We start from the raw sequence: 24003 nt of genomic DNA, 5'->3' as shown, positions 1-24003 counted from the left end.
CTGTGTTAACGCTTTCCTATGCGGTTGTCTACATTCTGGCGGAGTTAAATATATATTCCTTTCCATATGTTTAAGACCAGTCTTCTTTACTTAGCATTACACTGTATGGCTTGAATAGTAACAGAGTTGGTGCCTGAGTAAATTAAGTGAGGAAAATCCATGCTGTGCTGTATCAGTCAGGAGTGGCGAGGTTAGCTGAGGTAACAGACAGCCACCAAAGCCCGGTGGCTCGAAACAGTGACATTTATTTCTCACATTCACCACGCGTCCCTTGTGGGTTGGCTGGGACTCCATACGTTGTCCTCATTCCACACCCAGGTCTGGAGCAGCTGCCACCTGGGACAGTGCTTGTCACTCTGCAGAGGGGGAAGGGGAGATGGGAAAGCAGGTGTTGTCCCACTCCCAATTCATTGGCCAAAGCAAGTCACACAGCCATACCTACCTACGAGGGAGCACTGAAGTGTGATTCTACTGTTTGGTAGAAGGAGAACAAAGTTCCCGGTGGAAAGACATAAAGACTACCTCATATGCTCGCTTAAGATTTCTCTCTGAATCAAGTTATTAAGCTGTCTTTTTTTTTTTTAAGACACAGTTTCCCTCTGTCGCCCAGGCTGAAGTGCAGTGGCGCGATCTCAGCTCACTCCAACCTCTGCCTCCCAGGTTCAAGTGATTCTCCTGCTTCCCAAGTAGCTGGGATTACAGGCGTGTGCCACCATGCCTGGCTAATTTTTGTACTTTTAGAAGAGACGGGTTTCACCGTGTTGGCCAGGGTGGTCTTGAACTCCTGACCTCAACTGATCCACCCACCTCGGCCTCCCAAAGTGCTGGGATTACAGGCATGAGCCACTGTGCCTGGCCCAGGTTATTAAGCTTTTTAGCATTTGAAAATCTTTAAAACTCTTTTCTGAGCACTGGGATATTACATTCCTTCTGCACCTTCCCCTGTAGGCCACCAGTCTTCATCTCGGAATACTCAATAGAGGATTTGGGCCTAATGAAGAGAATCCAGTTTTGAACCCTGGCCACTTGCGTTATAACTTTATGCTGTTTATTTCTTGACCTTAAAACTAAAGACATAATAAAGCCAGGAGAATGTTTCTCATGGCAAGGAATAAATGTTTATGAGCGGCTTATTATGCAGCAAAAAGCCGACCTCAGTAATTAGAGCTGTAATTGGTAGCAGTGAAGTGCCTGGATCCTCCAAAATTAGATGCTCCATAATGATTATTCTTTTTCTCTTCAGTTTACTTAATTTTTGTTGAGTAAGGATAAACTAGCAAAGATCAAGTTCAGAAGGCTGAATTTCAAAGCTCTTGGACTCTGCTTCTAAGATTGAGTGATTCAGGGACTCAGAAATTGGAACTGGGCATGAAACTGCTACCGTTTGTATACATTTTAATACTTTTTGTTAAAGTCACTGAATTACTCACAGAACCCATTTACTTTTACCCCCTGAGGAGGGTATGACAGGGCACCAGGCGTCAGTCTTGAGAGTGTTACAAACAGTGCTTCCCAACTCATCCGATGTAAAGAAGCAGGTATTTTGTTTTGTTTTAATTTCCACTCTTTTGTGACCACTGCTGCTTTTGTGAAATACAAAATCCCATGCTTGGAGGTTGTGGCAATGTCAAAGCTACAAGAGGTTCTCAATGCTTAGTCTTGATTTCTGTCCTGACATTACTGCCATTAGCAAACAGTTGGCACCTGTTCCCTGACTTCACTTTGAAAAGCCCTGCCACAGGCTGGACACAGAGGGTCACACCTGTAATCCCAGCATTTTGGGAGGCCGAGGTGGGCAGATCATGAGGTCAAGAGATTGAGACCATCCTGGCCAACATGGTGAAACCCCATCTCTACTAAAGATAAAAAAATTAGACGGGCTTGGTGACACACACCTGTAGTCCCAGGTACTCGGGAGGCAGGAGAATCACTTGAACCTGGGAGGCAGAGGTTGCAGTGAGCTGAGATTGTGCCACTGCACTCCCGCCTGGTGACAGAGTGAGACTCTGTCTCAAAGAAAAAAAAAAGAAAAGAAAAGCCTGCCACTCATGGCTAATAAGCTCAGTTAAATCATTTCTTCTCCGTGCTCGGGTTGGTTTTGGCATTTGATGTTCCAGCAGCGTATTGATTGAAGAGGTGAAACATTCCCCCAGTCCTCAGAGATCTGATTGCCTCTGGATTAAAAGCTACCGCAGAGTCGAAATTCAGCCCATCTGTATCTAATATTAACACCTAGCTAAGTGGCTTCTGGTTAGATACTGAGTTCAGTACAAGTAAAAGCTGCCGGCACAAACACAGAAACACCTCACAATACAGATCATATGCTGCTTTCTATTTTAGAACACTTTAGGGAGGAGAATATAATTTAATAATCCAACTGACTGAACACACTTAAAGCGGGAACATTTACTTAATTTCTCTCTCTTGCCTCTCTCTCCATCTCAGCCCTCAGCTCACTCCCACACTTTACTGTTGAAATTAGTTCACATATCCAGTTACATGATACTTAGACTAAGCATGAGACCCTCGGCTGCCTTGAAGTAGAAGGATGCGTCATTTCAGCAACTTAATGTTCCTTTTCTCTGGGTACTTCTAGTACTATTATATTTTTTAGTCGTGTGTTCTCCTCATGTTATAGGTGCCTGTGCTTGTTATCTGAATTTTCATTGTATCCTGGACTCTAGTTTTGAGTAATTCTCTATTGTTTATCATGTTATGGTTTTTCTAGGTTGAGGAATCTTTTGGTGGTTCATCTCATGAGTTTGTTCTTAGTTTCTTTTTTGAGACAGGGTCTTACTCTGTCGCCCAGGCTGGAATGCAGTGGTGGGATCATGACTCCCTGCAGCCTCAACCTCCTAGACTCAAGCCATCCTTCCCACCTCAGCCTCCCAAGTAGCTGGGACTACAAGGCACGTGCCACCATGCCCAGCTAATTTTTTAAAAAAAATTTTGTAGAGACAGGGTCTCACTGTGTTGCCAGGGCTGGTCTCAAACTCCTGGGCTCATGCTTTCCTCCCGCCTCAGCCTTCCAAGAGTGCTGGGATTATAGGCATGAGCCACCACGCCCGACCTTAGTTTCATCACTTAATTTTAAGCACTTCCTTCGTTCTCCTGATCATTATTCCAGTTGCCACTCATGATCCCTTCCTGTATTTGAAGCTAACAGCCTTCCAGTTGGTGGATACATAGGTTTATATTGAATAATTTCCCTCTGCCCCCTGTTGGCAATCATTTTGGACGATATTAGAGTTGTCTGCTGAGAGTTAGAACATTGCTGTCCTATTTAAAAGAAATAGATCTGACTTTGCTGATTAACTGTTAAAATCATTATGTTCTTCATTCAGTTCCACATAATCCAGCTGTAGGATATTTCATAATTTTCTTTATATTTGTTCATGTAGAAGATGGTTATAAGGTTTTCCCCCAGTGTGCAAAGTATTGGCATCTTTAAATGGAAGCCGCTCACATGTTTGTTGCAAGGCAAGGTGTGGGGAGGGCTGCCTACCTGGAACAGTGAAAGGGGCTCCTGTTTGACCCCTAAACTGGTGTCCAATATGAATTCCAGTACAGAGCTAATGTGCTATTCACTTTTGTAAATTTTTGGCTTTCATTTGGGTGATCTTCAAAGAAGGAACTTATGCCCATTATCGTTTCTTCCATCCTCTTTCCTATCATAGAGATTTCCCCACTAATTAGAGATGTCTGATCTGTTTCTCAGACCTAGTCTTTTTACCCAGTTGTCTGGTACAAATTACATAATCAATTGCAGTCCTCAGACTGGAAGTCTCCTCTATTTAACCTTTTGATTATACAAAAAGAGGACCAAGAAAAGAGGGAATGGCTGGGTGTGATGGCTCACACCTGTAATCCCAGCACTTTGGGAAGCCGAGGCAGGTGGATCACTTGAAGTCAGGAGTTTGAGACCAGTCTGGCCAGCATGACGGAACCCCATCTCTACCAAAATTAGAAAAATTAGCTGAGTGTGGTGGTGTGTGCCTGTAATCCCAGCTACTAGGGAGGCTGAGGTAGGAGAATCGCTTTAACCTGGGAGGCAGAGGTTGTAGTGAGCTGAGATCGCACCACTCCACTCCAGCCTAGACAACAGAATGAGACTCCATCTCAAAAAAAAAAAAAAAAAAAAAAAAAAAAGAGGGAATGGAGCAAATCATACCTGAGGTGTCTCCATGTCTCCATCTAATTGGCTTCAGGTGACTTGCAGCAGGCTGTCACCATGTTGCCTCTCCTGCCATCTTCCAGTTAAGCAAAGGTGTTTCCTGGTACCCCACAGGGGTGCTAATTTTTTAATAGAAAAAAAACTGGGGCCAGGCTCAGTAGTGAAAGCCTGTAATCCCAACACTGTGAGAGGCTGAGGTGGGAGGATCGCATGAGGCCAGGAGTTTGAGACCAGCCTGGGCAACATAGTAAGACCCCATCTCTAAAAAAAATTAAAAAATCAGTCAAGCATGGTAGCACTCACATGTAGTCCCAGGTCTTCTGGTAGATGAGGTAGGGAATTGTCTGAATCCAGGAGTTTGAAGCTACAATGAGCTATGATCACACCACTGCATTCCAGCCTGGGGGACAGAGCAAGACCCTGTCTCTTTAATAACAAACAAACAAAAAAATTGGTCTCAGAATGTAGTAGAATGATGGCATTTCAAAAAGGAAATTCCAATAGTTAGATGAATCCTATTCATTCTTTCCTATGACGTAGCCCTTGATTCTATCTCGCCTAATAGATTTTTTTTTAATTTCCACTAAAATGCAGATAAATACACCTGTGTTAAGGCTAATGTAACTTAAATGGTTCTTGTGTAAAAATATTTTGATTTCAGCAGGGCTTCTTGACACTTAATCTGAAAGTTAGAAGTTGCTGAAAGAAGAGAATTTAAAATAAGAGAATGAAATGAAGACTTTGGAAAGTCCTCACGGGTGGCCCTCTGCTGTTCCCTATCTGAGGGTGTTACGGTACTTGAGAGGGCGATGGCAATTAGCCTTTTTGCCTATGTGAGGTTATCCATTTCCTGGTCCTGTAAACTAAACAAAAAACCATGTGTTCATCATGACATGGCCTAAAAAGGCTCAATGACTCCCTGGAACCCAATCTTACAAAATTCTGTTTTGCTATTTGCCTGCTTGTTTTTTTTTCAACCACTGCTCTCCCCTCAGCATTACGATGGGTATCTATATTATGGGATGATTTTTTTCCCAGAGCTGAAATTATTGCAGATATATACAATGACATGTGTTCCCCTTGCCCTTTTTAGAAATATCTGCAAAGGTATTTCTTTCCCTTAGCAAAGTAGGTATTCACTGTGGACATTCAAAGTAATTGATTAGGAAAGAGTTTTACATGAGGCGGTCTGGAAACAGGAGTGACCAGGACTTGTAACCATAGAGTTTTGAGTACCTAGGATCCTCAAGCCACGTAGAATACCTCGGCCTCACTCTGCTTTCCTCTCTGAAGTATGTAGCAGAGCCCAGGGTTAATTAGCAAGTTGGCTTTGAGCTCTGGGAGCCCAGAGAAGTATAAGATAATCTTATGATCAGATACTGCTAGAGTGTGAAATCAGGTACAGTTTCTGTAATGTGTAATTCACATTACAGATTCGTAATGTGAGTTGCATCTTGCTCCTGTTTGCAGAATTGTATTAAAGCAGTGTCCATATAGTCATACATATGGATGAACACACACCCTCCAACAGTACAGTTGTTAACATATTCTAGGACATAGATTTGATGAAAAACGTCTGGGGACTTTGAGGTAAGCTAATCTTTCTGTTTTCTGCTTTGGAGGAGAGTATGGAAAAGAAAAAATGATGGCGTTTACCAGGAAGCAAGATTAAACAAAATAATTTGCTTTCCTTTGAGTTGATTGGTAGGTAATATGAAGATAGACGTACATAGTAATCTTTATTTTTACAAGTAGTGACTTCCAGAGTGATCTAAAAATACACTTTTCTGCTATGTAAAACAAGAAAAAACAATCAGTCCAAACTATAATGACAAACATGAAACATACCTAGTTCACAGCAGGCACTTCCTGTTGTTTGCTAAACATTCAGAAGGTGTGAGCCCTGCCATTCTGTCTTTTTGTGTTTCACAGGGTTTTCACTTTCTTCTGTGGAAGAAGATGGTATTCGAAGGCTGTACGTGAATAGTGTGAAGGAAACCGGTTTAGCTTCCAAGAAAGGTAAGTCAGTGAAGGAGGGCTGGTCTGTCTGTCTTAAATGCCCTTTGGGGCTTCTCTAGTTTTTGAAGGAGAAAGATATGCCCAAAGGATTCATTTGTGGAAAGTATTTGAACATTTTCTCATTGAAAACCCTTCCAGGGAATATGCATTTTATTCCATTAACTTAAGTGTACCAGAAAGGTCATATTCTTGAACTTTTTTTTTCTTTTTTTAATTTTTAGAGACAAGGTCTTGCTCTATCACCCAGGCTGGAGTCCAGTGGCGCAATCATAGGTCACTGTAGCATCGAAATCCTGGGCTCAAGCCACCCTCTCACCTCAGCCCCCCAGGTCGCTAGGGGAGTACAGGTGCATGCCACCACACCTGACTAATTTATTTACTTATTTATTTTTCAGAGTCAGGGGTCTTGCTGTGTTGCCCCGGCTGTTCTTGAGCTCCTGGGCTCAAGCGATCCTCCTGTCTCAGCCTCTCAAGTCACTCATTTTTGGATTTTAAACTGATTGAGCCCATTACCCTGGGGCTGGTGGGAAATTCCATTCTAATCATGTGGTCGTCCTTCTCCATCTTCTAGGATGGTGTGGGGATCCTGGGGGGGTTCTTCCTGGAGCAGAGCATGGGGGAAGACCCCTCTGTACTTTGGTCCACACTGGTCAAAGCTGACATTGGCTATTGCCTGAGCCTGCAGAGCTCTTTCAAACCAGTTGTTCTGTTGCTTCCGTTCATAGAAGAATCTGCGAAAGTTGAGAACCTAGGGATTTGAGATCCAGCCTCCCTCCCCTTCTTTAGAGAGCGCTTCCCCGCTACATCCTGCCTGTTTCATTTTAGCCCTTAAATGGCCTATAATGCATTTGGGCTACTTGGGGAACCCCAACTCTTCATCCTTTTTCTACCCCTGGAAAGTCTTTGCAACCTAGATGATTTGCTCACAGTGCTAATTTCTTAGAGCTACTGTAATAAACTGTTACACACTGGGTGGCTTAAAATAACAGAAATTTATCCTCTCGCCGTTTAGGAGGCCAGAAGTCTGAAATTAAGGTATTGGCAAGATTGATTTCTCTGAAGCCTCTGAGGGAAGAATGGCTTCATGCCTCCTTCTGGTTTCTGGTGTGAAAGCAGCACTTGGCATTCTGTGGCTTATGGCTGTATCACTCCAATCTCTGCCTGAAGTCACATGGCTTCTGCCCTGTGTGTGTCTCTGTGTCATTAACATGGCTTTCTTATAAGAACACCAGTCATTGGATTTAGGACCTACACTAAATCATTGTGAGTTCATTGTAACTTTCGTGTGTAATAGTATATAATTATGTGTAATTATTATATAATTATAATGATGATATTGTAATTATTATAATATAATTATCATATAATGATATATAATATATTAATATAATATATAGCTATATGATATATAATATATTATATTAATATATAATATATTATATTAATATATAATATATAATGGCATAATATATTATATTAGCATATTATATATAAATATATAAGCATATAATATATAAATATAGAATATATTAATACATTATATAATAATCGTTAATATAATTATATATAATTATATAACATAATTATATATAATTATATAGCATAATTATATATAATTATGATGTGCAATTATTATATAATTACAATGATTATATTATTACAATTTCATCTGTGATATATATCTATCCCTATTTCCAAAGAAGGTTGCATTCTGACATTCTAGGTGGACAGGGACTCTATTCGACCCACTATACTCGCTGTAAATAAATGGGACAGGTAGGTAGGGCTGGAAATCCACCTTTGTTTCTTTCTTCTTGCTATGGGATTTGTAGTTTCATCCAAGAAGTGGCAAAATAATATGTATTGAACGTCAGAGATCAACACATCCAGATCAACTGTGCTTAGATGTACTTACCTTGCATCTGTTGTGTTAACTACTGCTGAATGGAGCAGAGAAGGGAAATTGAGTGCTGATCTTCGCCACTGCCTTTTTTGTCCTGGTTCAGCTGAGTTCTGGGTAGTTCATGGCTTGCAAAGCTACCTGTGCAGGTTATATTGACCTGTCCTGTAAACACTGGAAAAGCACAACCGCGGACTTGGCTATGCATGGAAAGGCAAAGGTGTGACGAGTGAGAAATAAAGTCAGGATAATTTATCTGCTGCTGACTGTCACAGAGGAGCATTTTCCTTCTTGTTCCTTCTATACTTTCTAGGCCATAGGCAGCCTGGGGCCAGAGTTTGACCCAGTCACTGAGCTGTATCTCAGCTAAGAGCAGAGATGACAGGATTTCTTCCCCTTCAAGCCCAAAGACTGATTTTTATCTCTTTCATCACAACGAGTGTGCCGGTTTGCGTGGCACGGGGGTGGGGAATCTACTGCTCTGGTTTCAGTCACATCCTGTTTTAGGTCTTTGAATCTGAGAGCCCTGGTGTTAAATGAAGATGAACGGTCATCTGTACTAACCCCCTTGCTCTGTTCTCAACAGATGCAAGAGTGATGTCCATTCTGTCCTCCTGGTCCACAAACACGATCCCAACACCTGGCGTGTCTAGAAAGATATTGGGGGTATTTTATGTTAAATTTAGCTGTGAATTGGCCGGGCACGGTGGCTCACACCTGTAATCCCAGCACTTTGGGAGGCCAAGGTGGGCGGATCACCTGAGGTGAGGAGTTCCAGACCAGCCTGGCTAACATGGTGAAACCCTGTCTCTACTAAAAATACAAAAATTAGCTGGGCATGGTGGTGCGCACCTATAATCCTAGCTACATGGGAGGCTGAGGCAGGAGAATCACTCGAACCGGGGAGGCAGAGGTTGCAGTGAACTGAGATCGCGCCATTGAACTCAAGCCTGGACAACAAGAGCAAAACCCCGTCTCAAAAACAAAACAAAACAAAAATTAGCCAGACATGGTAGCACATGACTGTAGTCCCACCTACTCAGAAGAATGGGAGAACCCGGGAGACAGATGTTGCAGTGAGCCAAGATCGTGCCACTGCACTCCAGCCTGGGCAACAGAGTGAGACTTCGTCTCAGAAAAAATAAATAAATAAAAATTTTAAAAAATTTGGATCACCTGAGGTCAGCAGACCAGCCTGGCCAACATGGTGAAACCCCGTCCCTACTGAAAATACAAAAAATAGCTGGGCGTGGTGGTGAGTGCCTGTAATCCCAGCTACTTGGGAGGCTGAGGCAGGAGAATCGCTTGAACCTGGGAGGCAGAGGTTGCAGTGAGCCAAGATCGCACCACTGCACTTCAGCCTGGGCAACAGAGTGAGACTCCGTCTCAAAAAAAAAAAAAAAATGATTTCAGATATTTTAGAAACCTGAATAAGGATGTCCAGGGCATGTGACTCTGTGAAGCTGGGAAGCGAGAACTTCTTTGTAGGGTCATTTTCTGCAGAATCTGAGTGGGATGCCCGAGGGCCTGGGAGGCTTCTCGTTCCTGCAATTTATCTTTGCCTGCCCTTCGCTCACTCCCTTTTTCAAGTTGGTTTTTCCATATTGGTGTATAAAATTAGAAATTGGGCTCCTTTTCTCTCCCTAGCTGAAAGGATTATTTTATTTTCTTTCATGTTCTTCCCACCCTCTCCATTTCTCAGGCTGCTGGAATGTTCTTCCAGTGCGAGTTTGAACTGCACCTTGGTGTCTCAACTTGCTGTTCTTCTAGGTTGGGCTTGTTCATGGTCGTTCCCTTGGGTCCCAAATTTTGGCAATTCCCCTAGCAGATCCTTTGGGGATCTACCAAAAGAGATTCATCCCAAGGTTCAGATGTAGTTTGAAAACAAAACAAAAAAGGACAAAATGATTGCATTGGGTTCTTGAAACTGTCATCTCTAAGTGTATTTGGAATGAGACATTCTTACTTCTGTCCTCATAGCCAGAGTGAACGCCCTGCATTTTGGTTCCTTGGAAATAATCAATAGATATTAGCTGGCTGTGACTTAAGTGTGCACTGAGGCATGAACATGTACAAAACACAGTGATGGCAGTCATCAGAGAGCACTGCCATTCCCCGCTCGCCCCGCCCCAAAAGTGTAGGAAGATAACCGGAATTAATTAGCATTTGTGAGAAATTTGCAGATGCTTGGAACACACAAATTAATGAAGGAGTAAGTTTGTTTGCTTGATGTATGAAGGACCAGCTAGGCATGTTGTAACCTGCAAATCTAGAACCTTCAGAACCTGAGGCCCCTGTCCTCTCCTGAGGATCACTCCCGAGCACCGCAGCCTGTCTGCAGCAGCACCTGGGGCTGTGAGACCCACAGCAGGTGTGCCCTTTATAGCAGAGCTCCTAAGCTGTTGTGTTCTGATAATGTGTGTGAAATTAAAAATTTTCCATCTTGCGTTGGCAGGCCTGAAAGCAGGAGATGAGATTCTTGAGATCAATAATCGTGCTGCTGACGCCCTGAACTCTTCTATGCTCAAAGATTTCCTCTCACAGCCCTCGCTGGGCCTCCTGGTGAGGACCTACCCCGAGCTGGAGGAAGGAGTGGAGCTGCTGGAAAGCCCGCCCCACCGAGTGGACGGCCCTGCCGACCTTGGCGAGAGCCCCCTCGCCTTTCTCACCAGCAACCCAGGTATGGCTGTGCAGGGTGCTGGGGGCGAGTCTGAACTCCGTTGTGCCACGACCCGGGGAGTTTATCATGCGGCTTGTGTGTTTCAGTGAGTGCCTCTGTCTGGCAGGTGGTATAAAATGTGTGTGCAAGATGGGCTGATGACTGGCCCTGCATTTCCTGTTGAAATTTCAAAGGCGCAGGGAACTTTATTTTCTCATAGAGCTGTTTTGCTACAGATCCACCTGTCACCCATGGGCAGCTTTATAATGCTTCTGCTGTTTCTCATTTTGGGGAAAGGTGAATATTTAGAAGACTTTGCTGTGGATAGAGATACAGAGGCACAGAAGTGTTGGGAATTGGGCCACGTGTGGTGGCTCGCACCTGTAATCCCAGCACTTGGGAGGTGGAAGCAGGAGGATACCTTGAGGTCAGGAGTTTGAGACCAGCCTGGGCAACATAACGAGACTCTATCTCTCCAAAAAAAAAAAAATGAGCTGGGCATAGTGGAGAGCATCTGTAGTTCCAGCTACTTGGGAGGCTGAGTCAGGAGGATCGCTTGGGCCCAGGAGTTTGAGGCTGCAGTAAGCTGTGATTGCACTGCTGCATTCCAGCCTGGGAGACAGAGGCCTGTCTCGTAAAAAAAAAAAAAAAAAAAAAAAAAAAAAAAAAAAAAAAAAAAAAAAAAGAAGAAGAAGAAGAAGAAGTGCTGGGAATCACATAAGATGCTGAGACTAAGTCCTACCTCTGTTCCTGCCTTCTCTATCGTCATCTTCCAAACCACCACTCAGCCCTGCTTTCCTGCTGTCTGAGAGAAGGACGTGAGCTGAGATGCTGAGAGGCCCAGAGTGGAAATGTGTGCAGAGCTCTGTTTGTCTTTTGGACTTTTTCAACCTGAAGACTGAACCCGAGCGCTTCAGTGACCCCCCTGCCCTGCCCTTCCTTCCTCTCCCCGCTCCTTCTGGCAACCTGTGCTCATTCTACTAGAAGCAGCGTGAGTGCCACCTGCCTTTCGAAGTCTTCCTGGGACCCCATAGAGTTAGCTCTCTCCTCTGGGCCCCCACAACCCTGCAAATTTGACTTCCATATGGGCCCTCATTAGATCATGCGATTCTTACTTGCTTGTGTCTCTCTTTTCGCCTAAATGTGTTTCCTGAGACTGGGTTTATATTCCTCATTTTTGTCTTCCCGGCTCTTTACATGTGGTTTGCTACATGGGTGGCCCTTTCTTGTTCAGCAAGAGAGTGAGTGAGTGATGGAACAGATGAACAGCATAGATTACTATCATTTATTTCTCCATGACCGGGTTCTCGGGTTTGGGTTGATTTAGTAAGTTGGGGTTTTGTCATTATTTTCTCTTTTCAAAGCTTGGGATACAAAAGGAGCGTTCTGTTCAAAATCTGAAATGGAAGGCTCTTGGGTAGTTGGATATTCTTGCCCTGCTATTGTTGTTTTTCAAATCATTTTCTGAAGCTTGGCTTGCTAAGGAAGTTGGACCCCTCATTCTTTTGTCCATTGGCTCCTTGGAAGATTTTGACAAGTTGAAGCTTCAGAAAATTGATTGCTCTCAGTTACAGTTGACTTCCTTGACTCATTATGTTATTGTGGTCCCCACATCCCAATCAAATTTTTGAAAAGTGGCTCCAGTGAGTTGTGTACCCTTAGTAAAGGAGAATGAAGACTATAAAGGCTGTTATTTCATGTGACCACAAGATGGCAGGATCGATCCCATAAAACGGTTCACAGATAGAGTTGTTTCTGGAATATGACTTTGAATGAGACATATTATGTTAGATTAGATTATTTAAAGGATTTTATAAGCTTGCACATATGTGCTATAAGCAACAGTGTGTACTCAACTTTCTTTGGATTTTTTTCTTCTGTCTGAGCCCTTCTTCTGGGTTACAGATATAAAAAAAAAAAGAGGTGGGTAAACTATAATCCATAGGCTAAAAGCAGCCCACCACCTGTTTTTGTAAATAAAGTTTTATTGGAACACAGTCATGCCATTCATTTACACCTTGTCTCTGGCTGTTTTCCTTCTGTAATGGCAGAGTTGAGTCGTTGTGACAAGGACTTAGGGTCTACAAAGCCAAAAGTGTTTACTCTATGGCCCTTTACACATCAAATTCGCTGTCCCTGATGTAAAGTATGACTGAGATTGCTCACAATTTGTTTTTTTAAGGATAGACACGGTTAATGTTTTCGTCTATTTCTTTCTTCTTTTTTAAAAAAAGTCTACCGGGCGCAGTGGCTCACACCTGTAATCCCAGCACTTTGGGAGGCCAAGGCAGGCGGATCACCTGAGGTCAGGAATTTGAGACCAGCCTGGCCAACATGGTGAAACACCACCTCTGTTAAAAATACAAAAATTAGCCATCCGTGGTGGCAGGCGCCTGTAATCCCAGCTACTCGGGAGGCTGAGGCAAAAGAATCGCTTGAACCCGGGAGGCAGAGGTTGCAGTGAGCTGAGATTGCACCACTGCACTTCAGCCTGGGCGACAGAGCAAGATTCCGTCTCAAAAAAAAAAAAAAAAAAAAATCTGTGTATGTATATGTACGTGTACGTGTGTTTGCTTAAAAATCTATTAAAATACATTTAATAGAGTTTAAAATGCATTGAATAAATCTTGAAATGCATTTAAAAGATTTTTAAAATGCATTTTATATATATCTATTTTAGAAATATCTGAGTATTTCTGTGTATACAGTTGCTGTCTGGTCTTTTGTGTGGTGGAGTTTTAAACTAAACAACTGGACTTTACAACTGACCACGTTACCTCCTTCAGACCGCTCACCTTTGGAGGCTGTGCGCTAAATCCATGGACCCTGCCATTATTTTAAAACACATTAAAACTGCAATTTTGGGATCATCTTTGGAAGGTTTTTTTTTTTTTTCAATTAAGCGGCCATAACTCGGAGCTGATATTTTTTAAGTATTTACTATGTGCCAGGCATGGAGCTGAAAGTTTGATAATAACTATGACTCAAATTTTGTCCTCCAGTTTATGTTTTAATGTAGTTTTTCATTTTTTCATTGCTTTATCTTTTTTTTTTGAAACGAAGTTGCGGTCTTGTTGCCCAGGCTGGAGTGCAATGGCGCCATCTTGGCTCACTGCAACCTCCGCCTCCTGGGTCCAAGCGATTCTCCTGCCTCAGCCTCTTGAGTAGCTGGGATTATAGGCACCTGCCACCTCGCCTGGCTAATTTTTGTGTTTTTAGTAGAGATGGGGTTTCACCATGTTGGTTAGGCTGGTCTCGAACTCCCGAAATCGGGTGATCTGCCCGCCTCGGCCTCCCAAAGAGCTGGGATTACAGGAATGAGCCACTGTGTGCGGCCACATTGCTTTATTTCTTAAAATTTTGTAGTTTTACAATCATCAAAAATCCTTCAGGCTGGGTGTGGTGGCTCACGCCTGTAATCCCAGCACTTTGGGAGGCCAGGGTGGGCGGATCACCTGAGGTCGGGAGTTCGAGACCAGCCTGACCAACATGGAGAAACCCCGTCTCTACTAAAAATACAAAATTAGCCAGGCATGGTGGCACATGCCTGTAATCCCAGCTACTAGGGAGGCTGAGGCGGCAGAATCGCTTGAACCCAGGAGGCAGAGGTTGCGGTGAGCCAAGATTGTGCCATTGCACTCCAGTCTGGGCAACAAGAGCGAAACTCCATCAAAAAAGAAAAATCCTCCAGAACAGAGTCTGCTTTGTCAAGTTAGGTAATCAGACTGACTCAGGAATAAAGCATGGAAGTAAAGCCACTGTATTGTTTTGTTGTTTTTGTTTTTGGTAAAGTTTCTAAACTGGCTTCAAAATTAGTAAATTTCAGAAGAATTCCTGGCCGGGCTCAGTGGCTCGCGCCTGTAATCCCAGCACTTCGGGAGGCCGAGGCAGGCAGATCACGAGGTCAGGAGATCGAGACCATCCTGGCTAACACAGTGAAACCCCGTCTCTACTAAAAATACAAAAAATTAGCTGGGCAAGGTGGCGGGTGCCTGTAGTCCCAGCTACTCGGCAGACTGAGGCAGGAGAATGGCGTGAACCCCGGGGGCAGAGCCTGCAGTGAGCCGAGATCACACCACTGCACTCCAGCCTGGGCGATAGCGAGACTCCGTCTCAAAAAAAAAAAAAAAAAAAAAAAGAATTCCTGAATACTTGGTCAAGTAGCAGCCCAATTGGACCTGCTGGTGGAGAGAAGGCATTTCACTTCCCCACCTGGGTCTCTGCCTATCTGCCTTCTGATTGCTTCTGCTTCCTAGTCCCCACTTAACAGTGGAAGATAAAAGTGGAGGCAAATAAACAGGATAAAATAACTGAAAGATTGCTCTGTGATGGGGCAGAGATAAAGCAGTATCAGCAGACCACTGCAGTTAAAATAGAAAACAACCGAGAAAATTTTGTACAACGGGCAGGATGGACTACAGCCTTAGTCTAAATTTAGAAGTAACAAAAATAGGAAACATCCTGAGTGGCAGGTTTGAGGTTTGATGGGAGTAAGTTAAGGTGGATGATTGGTGTCCTCGACAGAGAGCCTTGCTGGGTCTCAGGGACCTTGGGGTCCACGTGAGTGCTGGCTGCTACCTGGCTGCTGGAGGCTTGTCCTGCAGAGCTCCACAGTCTCACAAACTCAAGTGGTCAGACTTGGCCAGGTCCTCCCTTAAGGACCCTGAGTGAGTATGGGATTAGCTTTCAAAGTTGGATTATTTCTGAACTGCTTTCTCATAGAGAGGTTTGTTTCTTCTATGTAGAAGCATCACAGCCTAGTGGCGAAGATTAGGGCCTGGAACCAAGTTATTTGGAACTTAGTCCATTTCTTTGGAACTCAGTCATTGGTGGGGGGGACAGAGTCTCACTCTGTCACCCAGCCTGGAGTGCAGTGGCAGGATCTTGGCTCACTGCAACCTCTGCCTCCCAGGTTCAAGTGATTCTCCTGCCTCAGCCTCCCAAATAGCCGGGATTACAGGCATCCGCCACCACGCCCGGCTAAATTTTGTATTTTTAGTAGAGACAGGGTTTCACCATGTTGGCCAGGCTGGTCTCGAACTCCTGGCCTCAGGTGATCCACCTGCCTCACCCTCCGAAAGTGCAGGGATTATAGGCATGAGCCACCATGCCTGGCCAGAAATCAGTCCATTTCTATGTTCATCAGCTTCATGACCTTGACCTGGTCATGCTTAATCCCTCTGTGCCTCAGTGTCCTCACCTGCAAAATGGGGATAATGCCACACTGTCATCTCATTGGGCTGTTGTGAGGACCAAATGAGGCATAAAAGTAAAGCATTTAGAATATTACCCAGTAAGCGCTCAATAAATGTTTTGTACCTGAAGCCATTCTCTTATGGGGGACATGAGGATTCCCTGGCCTATGACCAGAGATTGCTCTTTTTCAGTATTCTCCCTGCCTTCTACGCCACCTCAGTCTGCAACAGGTGAATTACCTGATAACTAAGTTTGTGAATTACAGCTTGTTCATATTTTCCTTTCTCGAGTAGAAAGAACTGAATGCTGTAGTCTAGAATGCTGAGGTTCCTGGGCCCTTTTTCAGAGCTCATGAGTCACCTAGTGTGGGATGGGGTCTGGGTCTGCATTTGTTCCGGTGGTTGCTTCTAATGTCCAGCCCTGGTTGGGAGCCACTGCCTTAGGTCACCAACTCTTCCTGGTTACTGCTCCCTGTCCTTTTTCTTGTCTTGGTGGAATCATAAGATAATTGGAATTTTACGGTGACATGCAAACCTTCTATAGTTTCTTGATCACATTTTGTGATCTGCTTCATTGAGATTTTTTTGTAATGAAAATTTGTTAGGTGGTCCTGTAGTACATTCTCCATTCTCCCGTTCCTTGGTTTACGAGGGAAGCCTGCTGAATGGGTTGCCACGTTGGCTTAGAAAGCCAGGATCTGCATAAGGAGAGTCTATGCTGAGTGTTCTCTGTAAGACTCAGTTTCCTATCCTTGGCTGTTTGCCATCCCTGAGTTCTGGTTGCAGTCTTACTGGAGCTACTTTCATCTGTTTTGGTTTTTTTTTTAAGCATTTGTTTTCATACATATTGGTAGGAAAAAAAGGGAAGGATGTCTAGGACAAAAAGATAGTTCCTTCAGTGGCTGTTTTTATAAAAAGATCTTAGCAGTGAAGGGGAAGCTAGAATAGGAAGTTGCAGAACTGTATTTGTATGAGGTTTCAAAAAAGTCTCTCTTGTGTTCTTGTGTGATTTATTTTGAATACTGATCTTATCTAGCAATATTAACAATCTGGGCTAGGTAATGCTTTGCTGTGGGGAGCTGTCCTGTGTGTTGATGTTTAGCAGTACCCCTGCAAGCCACTACGAGACAATAGTACGCCACCTCCCCAAGTTGTGCCCATCAAACATATCTTCAGACATTGCCAAAAGGCCACTGGGCAGCCAAATCTTACCCAGTTGAGAACTACTGGCCTAATTTATTAAAAGGTATAGCTCTATCACCCTTTTAGGGAAATGTTGCAGGGAACATCAATATAGGAAAGCAAAGCAAATCTAGATGTAAAACAGTTCTTAAAAAAAAGTTTTATAGGCCGGGCGCAGTGGCTCACACCTGTCATCCCAGCACTTTGGGAGGCCGAGGCAGGTGGATCACCTAAGGTCAGGAGTTCCAGACCAGCCTGACCGACATGGTGGAACCCCGTCTCTACTAAACATACAAAAATTAGCTGGGCGTGGTGGCGGGCGCCTGTAATCCCAGCTGCTTGGGAGGCTGAGGCAGGAGACTCTCTTGAACCTGGGAGGCAGAGGTTGCTGTGAGCCAAGATCGTACCATTGCATTCCAGCCTGGGCGACAGAGGGAGACTCCGTCTCAAAAAAAAAAGTTTTATAAAGCATTTATTGAGAGAATTCCAACACAAATCCCCATTTATGGCCTTGTTTTTCCTTTTTACATCAAGAAGAAAGCCAAGAAAAAATAAATGGAATTATGTAACAGTAATTATGCAAAACCTCAGCTTTTATGCAAATTATAAGAATCATAGTTGAAGTGACACCATTAGTGTCTTTCCGAAGTTTCAAACGCCTGTTTCTCTCTCTCTTTGGGTTCACGTTCACTTTATTTTTGTGGTTTATACAGCTGTGCTGTGATTGTCCCTAGAATTCCACTTGACCAGTTGGGGCGAAGCAGGTGCCTTGGTTTACCTCAGTGAGTAGCCCACAGGATTACAATAAAAGTGCCAGAGGCCAAGCGTTCGTTGTGGCTCACACGTGTAATCCCACCACTTTGGGAGGCTGAGGCGGGAGGATTACTTGAGCTCAGGAGTTTGAGACCAGCTTGGGCAACATAGTGAGACCTTGTCTCTACTAAAAATTTAAAAATTAGCCAGGCGTGGTGGTGTGCACCGGTAGTCCCAGCTACTCAGGCAGCTGAAGCAGGAGGATCACTTGAGCACAGAAGGTTGAGGCTGCAGAGATCCTTGATCATACCACTACACACAGCCTGTGAGACAAGCAAGACCCTATCTCTAAAAAAGAAAGTAACAGGCTGGGCACGATGGCTCACGCCTGTAATCCCAGCACGTTGGGAGGCTGAGGGTGGATCACCAGAAGTCAGGAGTTCAAGACCAGCCTGGCCAACACAGTGAAACCCTGTCTCTACTAAAAGTACACAAAATTAGCTGGGAGTGGTGGCAGGTGCCTGTAATCCCAGCTACTCAGGAGGCTGAGGCAGGAGAATTGCTTGAACCCGGGAGGTGGAGGTTGCAGTGAGCCGGGATCGCACCACTGCGCTCTAGCCTGGACAACAAGAGCGAAACTCTCTCTCAAAAAAAGAAAAAGAGAAAAAAGGTAACAATTTTAAAAATAATAAAAGTTCCAGCGTTCCAAGAGCTGCTTCTTGTTCAAAAAATGGTTATTCCTGCTGTGGTGTTGGAGAAAGCCAAGTGCGTGTGGCTAACAGCAGGCCTATGGCATGTTAAAGGCAATTAGGGCCAGCGCTGGAGTTGCAGAGTCAGATCCTTTGATAAACCTCAGGCGTGTCTGTCTGATGCCAAGTGGAAGCTTGTGCTCTGCAGTCCAGACCAGTGTCCCTCCTGCAGGAAGTAGATTAAGCAGCGTTTGTTGAACAGGAAAGGCCTCTGTGATAGCCGTGAAAGTCGAAGGCACCTTGCTTCAGAGAGAGGAATTGCCAAGTGCTGAGCACGGACAGCCGCTTGGTCTGCATGGGCAGGACGTGCCTCTGTGCAGTACCCGTGAAGTGTGAGGTTCTATTTTGGTCTGATGTTCCATGGAGATGGCCTGGAGCTCGATTCTGAAAACCGAAGACAGTCAGGCGGCAGGGAGGGGCGGCAAAGGAAGAGGAACTGCACAGATTTCTCTTCCCACAAACAAATATGGTCCAGGGCTTCAGATTCTCTGAAGTCTCACAGATACCCGGCAGCACATGGTCCTCTGTTTGTTTGTCGATAACATTTGGAGACACGCGCGCCTCGTAAACTGTCGGCCTGCTGTGCTTCTTGTCACACAGCACATGGCCTGCCTGCGTGGGCCCTGCTATGGCCGGGGGCGGGGTAACTTCCAGTGAGATTTGACTGATGACACCGTCAAATCCTGCGTGTGAAAAAACATGTTTCGGAGACTGAGATGCTCTATTTTGATATTTTTAAAGATTGTTAATGTATATTTGACTTTCACAACAAGCTAACAGGATTAGTAAGTTTTTATGGATTTTTAAATTTCTATAGGAAACAAAGACTGAGATTTTGTGACATTTGACTAAAAAGAAGTTACTATTTTAAATCTACAGTTTTAATGGAATTTTAAATTTCTCTTTATAGGAAACAAAAACTGAGATTTTGTGACATTTGATTAAAAAGGAGTTATTATTTGTCTACCAAGTTCAAATTGTAACATTCCTTTCTTTCTTTCTTTTCTTTTCTCTCTCTCTCTCTCTCTCTTTCTCTCGCTCTCTCTTTCTTTCTTGCTTTGTTTTTTAGCTTTGTTGGAGGGGTGAGTGTTTATGCTGATGTTATTATGGGTATTTATATGGAATTCTTAAAATCTTATAACAGTAAAATGACTGAAACGCAAAATAAAATTATATCCTAACAGTTGAGTTCCAGCTAAATATCTTTATTGACAGTGTTTAAGCTTTCTTTTGCCCCCACCCCCAAACGTTTTTTTTCCATCAGGGATTTAAACTCAGGCATTAAAAAGACCTTTTAAAAGTTTCGTGTTGTAATTGTTTCTCTTTGTCAATGTTTGAATTGGAGGGTCTGCTTAGAGCACATTGTTAAGACATCTCACGAGGCCAGAATTTTTTTTCTTCCTCCTTAAGCTTAAGTCCCACATGGACTTGAATGAAACCAAAGTAGATGTGTGTAATCTGGGTAAATGAAAGGTAAATCTCAATGTAAACTGCACTAATATGTTTGTACTTCCCCAAATCTCCTCGTTGTCTGTCCTGTTGATGGTGCGTCAGAGGTACTGATTGCAAACGTTTTTGCAGTCACAAAAATATTATTGTAGGTAACTTAAAAGGCAAAGCATTGATTTTACCTGTTCACAACAATCAATTCTATTTACAGGGTTACCGCAGTTTTTTTTTTTCTTACTTTCAAATAGAGTTGGGGTTTCTCTCTGTCACCCATGCTAGAGTGCAGTGTCACAATCATGGTTCACTGCAGCCTTGAACTCCTGGACTCAAGTGATCTCCTGCTCTAACCTCTCAAGAGTTTGGGATTACAGTTGTGAGCCACTGCGCCGGGCTCTATAGCAGCTTTTGATTTGGCCTATGATCCCTGTCTGAGAGAGTCCACAGTCCTGCTCTGGGCTTCTTCATTCCCTGAGACTTTGTCTCTCTAGACCGAGCCCTCTTCCTCTCCCCCGGTCCCCTGCTGCATGCCTGGCAGTGTGCTCAGTACTGGGATGTGGATGGGCATCCTGCTTCTCCAGCCACGACTGAGCCTTATCTTCAGCTTTCTTCTCTCTCTGATTGGTAGCAGAGCTGTCGTGCTTTGTTTCCTGGTAAGTAGGTGGGGACAGGAATGTCCAGAACAAAGAGGATAATTCCTCCAATTTCTGTCATTAGGGGAAAGCCGCTCACCTACTACTATTGTGAGTAGCACAGGGGAAGCTAGAGTAGGAAATTGCAAAACTCTGTTTGTATGGGATTAAAAAAAAAACAAACAAACTTGACCATGTTGTTGTCTACACTTCTTAAGCTGGGAGTGTTTAGAGAAGGCCCTCAAGTATGGGAGTGAGAACAATGCCCTTTCCCACTTGAATTCCCTCTTCCTGCCATGCTGGTGTCTCTCCTCAGCTTCCTTGAAGCGTACCACTGTCACCTCCTGCTTTCTGGCTTTCTGGTATCATGAAATTCCCCCTCACCACTTATTGGTTATCTACTACCACGTAATAGACCACTCTGAAACAACTGTTTTACTTGCTCACTGTTCTGTGGCTCAGCAGTTTGGGCCAGACTCAGCTGGTTGGTTGTTCTGCTAACCTTCCCTGGAGTCACTCATGTGACTCTGTGATCCAGTGGTCTGACTGGGGCTGGAGGGTTTAAGATGGCCTTACTCACTCCCACGTATGGTGACTAAACAGCTGGGCCTCCTCTCCTTGGGGTCTCTCATGGGAGGTTAGCTTGAGATTTCTTTGTATGGTGGGCTCAGAGTTCCCAGCAGGGCAAGACCAGAGACTGCAAAGTCACTTGAGGCCTTGGATCACAATTAACATATTATCAAAGCAAATCACAACACCAGCCCAAATTCATGGAGTGGCGAAATAGACATAAAAGTCTGCGCTTAAAGAGATGAAAGAAATAATCACTGTCATCTTTGCAAATGATCTGCTACAAACTGCATTGCCCATTTTAATTCATTTTATTGATTTTTACCTTCAGTTAAGGGTAGAAAACATGACATATGGGGATAAAAAAATATATGCTTTAGAATCAGATATGCCGCCAATTATTGATTTGTAAGAGTTCTTTTATATTTTAGATGTTAACATTTTGTTAGTTAGATGTATTGAAGATAACTTTTATCAGTCTGTGATGTCTTCTTGTATTTATGGTGCCTTTTTACAAACAAAAGTGTTTAATTTCAGCAAAATCTGAATTTTCAATCTTATATGGTTTGTACTCTTTACATCTTGTTTAAGAAATCTCTCTCTCCCCTGAAGTAATAAACGCTGTCTTCTATATTTTCTTCTAAAAGATTTACAGTTTGGGCTATTCATATACTGATTTATATCTCTGGTACTGATTTTTGTGAATGGTGTGAGTTAGGTTCCAATGTTATGTTTCTTCACGTGGGTAATCTACCGTCCTAGCATCATTTATCAAATATTCTATTCCTTTCTCACTTGTCCGCAATGGCATAACTGCTGTATTTCACATTTCCATATACAGATGGCCCCCAATTTTTTTTTTTTTTTTTTTTTTTTTTTGAGATGGAGTCTCACTCTGTCACCCAGGCTGGAGTGCAGTGGCACAATCTCAGCTCCTGGCAACCTCTGCCTCTTGGGTTCAAGCGGTTCTCCTGCCTCAGCCTCCTGAGTAGCTGGGATTATAGGTGCGTGCCACCATGCCCGGCTAATTTTTGTATTTTTAGTAGAGATGGGGTTTCACCATGTTGGTCAGGCTGGTCTCGAACTCCTGACCTCATGATCCGCCTGCCTCTGCCTCCCAAAGTGCTGGGATTACAGGTGTGAGCCACTATACCTGGCCAGATGGTCCCCAATTTATGATGATTTGACTTAATGATTTTTTGACTTTATGATGGGTTTATTGGGACATAACCCCATCATAGGTTGAGGAACATCTGCATGGGATGGAGGCTCTGTTTCTGAGCTCTCTGTTCTGTTAGCCTGTTGTGCACTGCTTTAGATTACTGTAATTTTATAATATGTTTTGAGATCTGGTAGGTAAAGTACCCTAATCTTGTTTTTCTTTTTAAAAACTGTCCTGGGTGTTATTGGCCTTTTTTTCTTTCATAAAATATTTAGTTCCAAGAAAAATGTTGCCAGTGTGGTCTGCATCCATACAGATTCTTTGGTATTGCTTGAAATTTACACTGTGGCCTAATATGTGGCCTACTTGCATAAATTGCTAATTCTTATGGAAAATGTATATTCACCAATTTCTTGGGAATAGGTTTGAAATGCATTCATGGATCAAGCTGTATAATTACTGATTTTTACATCTTCTGTATCCTGACTAATCGATTGTGTCTGACATTTTTGAGGCTTTCTTTATGTTTGCCTAATATAGTTTTCCAGCCTTTTAATCTTGTGTGTCTTTTGTGTTTAAGTCTATTACTTCCATATAGCATGCAGCTGGGGCTTTGTTTTGCACTGTTTTTTTCTATAATCTAAACATGAAGTTTAAGTATTACGTTTAGCCTGTTTTACATTTGTTTAGAATATCTGTGTATTTTTATTTGTTTCTATTATCTTGTTTTGCTGAATTTGTCTTGCTTGTTTTTCTTTTCCTTTCCTGTCCTCTTCTAGGTTGCATTTATAAATTCTGCTTTCTCCTTTCAACCTGTATAATCTATTTCTGTTCTTTTAGTGTTTGATCTTAAAATTTTAAGATGATTATTAACAGAAACCAAAGTTAATGTTTCTAGTTCCCTCTTGCATAAAATTATGAAATGGCTTTAAATATAATCACTTCCACCATTGTTTTAGTTACAGTTTGTATTTTTTTTTTTGCCCCCAAGTACCTTTTTTGGGGAGTTGAGGGGGTTGTCATATATACTAAGACTTACCTGTGTGTGTATCAGCTGTTTATCATTTTCGCTTGTATACCAGATCTTTTTCTTTCTTTCCCCACCTGAAAGTACATCCTTTAGCGAACTTTTTCAGTGAGATTCTGTTCATGATAAACTTTCTCATTCTTTGTTTCTCAAAAGTCTTAAAGTCTCCTTCGTGGATGATATTTTAGCTGAAAATGCAATTCCATATTGATAGTTTTAACATTTGAAGGTTTCTTTAGGAGCTCTAGTAAGTCAGTGTCTTCGGATAGATGTTCCAGTCTTCTCTCATTTCGTCAATTTACATCTCATCTATTGAGTGTTCATTTCATTGGTTATAGTTTCTATTTCTAAAAATTCTATTAATTTACCTGGTGTTTTTTGAAATTATCTCTTTCTTCTTCTGTTTTAGTATTATTATTATTATTATTATTTGAGACGGAGTCTCACTCAGTCTGCCAGGCTGAAGTGCAGTGGTGCGATCTTGGCTCACTGCAACCTCTGCCTTCCAGGTTCAAGTGATTCTCCTGCCTCAGCC

The 24003-nt window shown here is 43.1% G+C and overlaps 1 protein-coding gene across 12 annotated transcripts in view, besides 2 other annotated features; it reads left to right on the top strand.

The window, feature by feature from the left end:
• TIAM1 (TIAM Rac1 associated GEF 1) overlaps positions 1-24003 on the top strand; it is a 440670-nt gene that overhangs the window by 365894 nt on the left and 50773 nt on the right. For all 12 annotated transcript variants that reach the window (NM_001353690.1, NM_003253.3, NM_001353688.1 and 9 more), the window contains 2 exons: positions 6107-6193; positions 10549-10773. In NM_001353690.1, the coding sequence (NP_001340619.1) occupies positions 6107-6193; positions 10549-10773 (312 nt within the window). The remainder of the gene's footprint in view (positions 1-6106; positions 6194-10548; positions 10774-24003) is intronic.
• Positions 10191-10690: an enhancer, noted in NCBI's record as "H3K4me1 hESC enhancer chr21:32554821-32555320 (GRCh37/hg19 assembly coordinates)". NCBI's record gives its function as "activates a minimal SCP1, AML or CMV promoter by ChIP-STARR-seq in naive H9 embryonic stem cells {active_cell/tissue: H9 hESC(naive)}" and the evidence as "EXISTENCE:reporter gene assay evidence [ECO:0000049][PMID:30033119]".
• Positions 16868-17162: a silencer, noted in NCBI's record as "tiled region #15669; K562 Repressive non-DNase unmatched - State 22:ReprW". NCBI's record gives its function as "represses a minimal TATA promoter and a strong SV40 promoter by Sharpr-MPRA in K562 cells {active_cell/tissue: K562}" and the evidence as "EXISTENCE:reporter gene assay evidence [ECO:0000049][PMID:27701403]".

Source organism: Homo sapiens, chromosome 21 (genome assembly GCF_000001405.40).
Source record: "Homo sapiens chromosome 21, GRCh38.p14 Primary Assembly".
Taxonomy (NCBI): Eukaryota; Metazoa; Chordata; class Mammalia; order Primates; family Hominidae; genus Homo; species Homo sapiens.
This window is presented reverse-complemented; position numbering and strand designations above follow the sequence as displayed.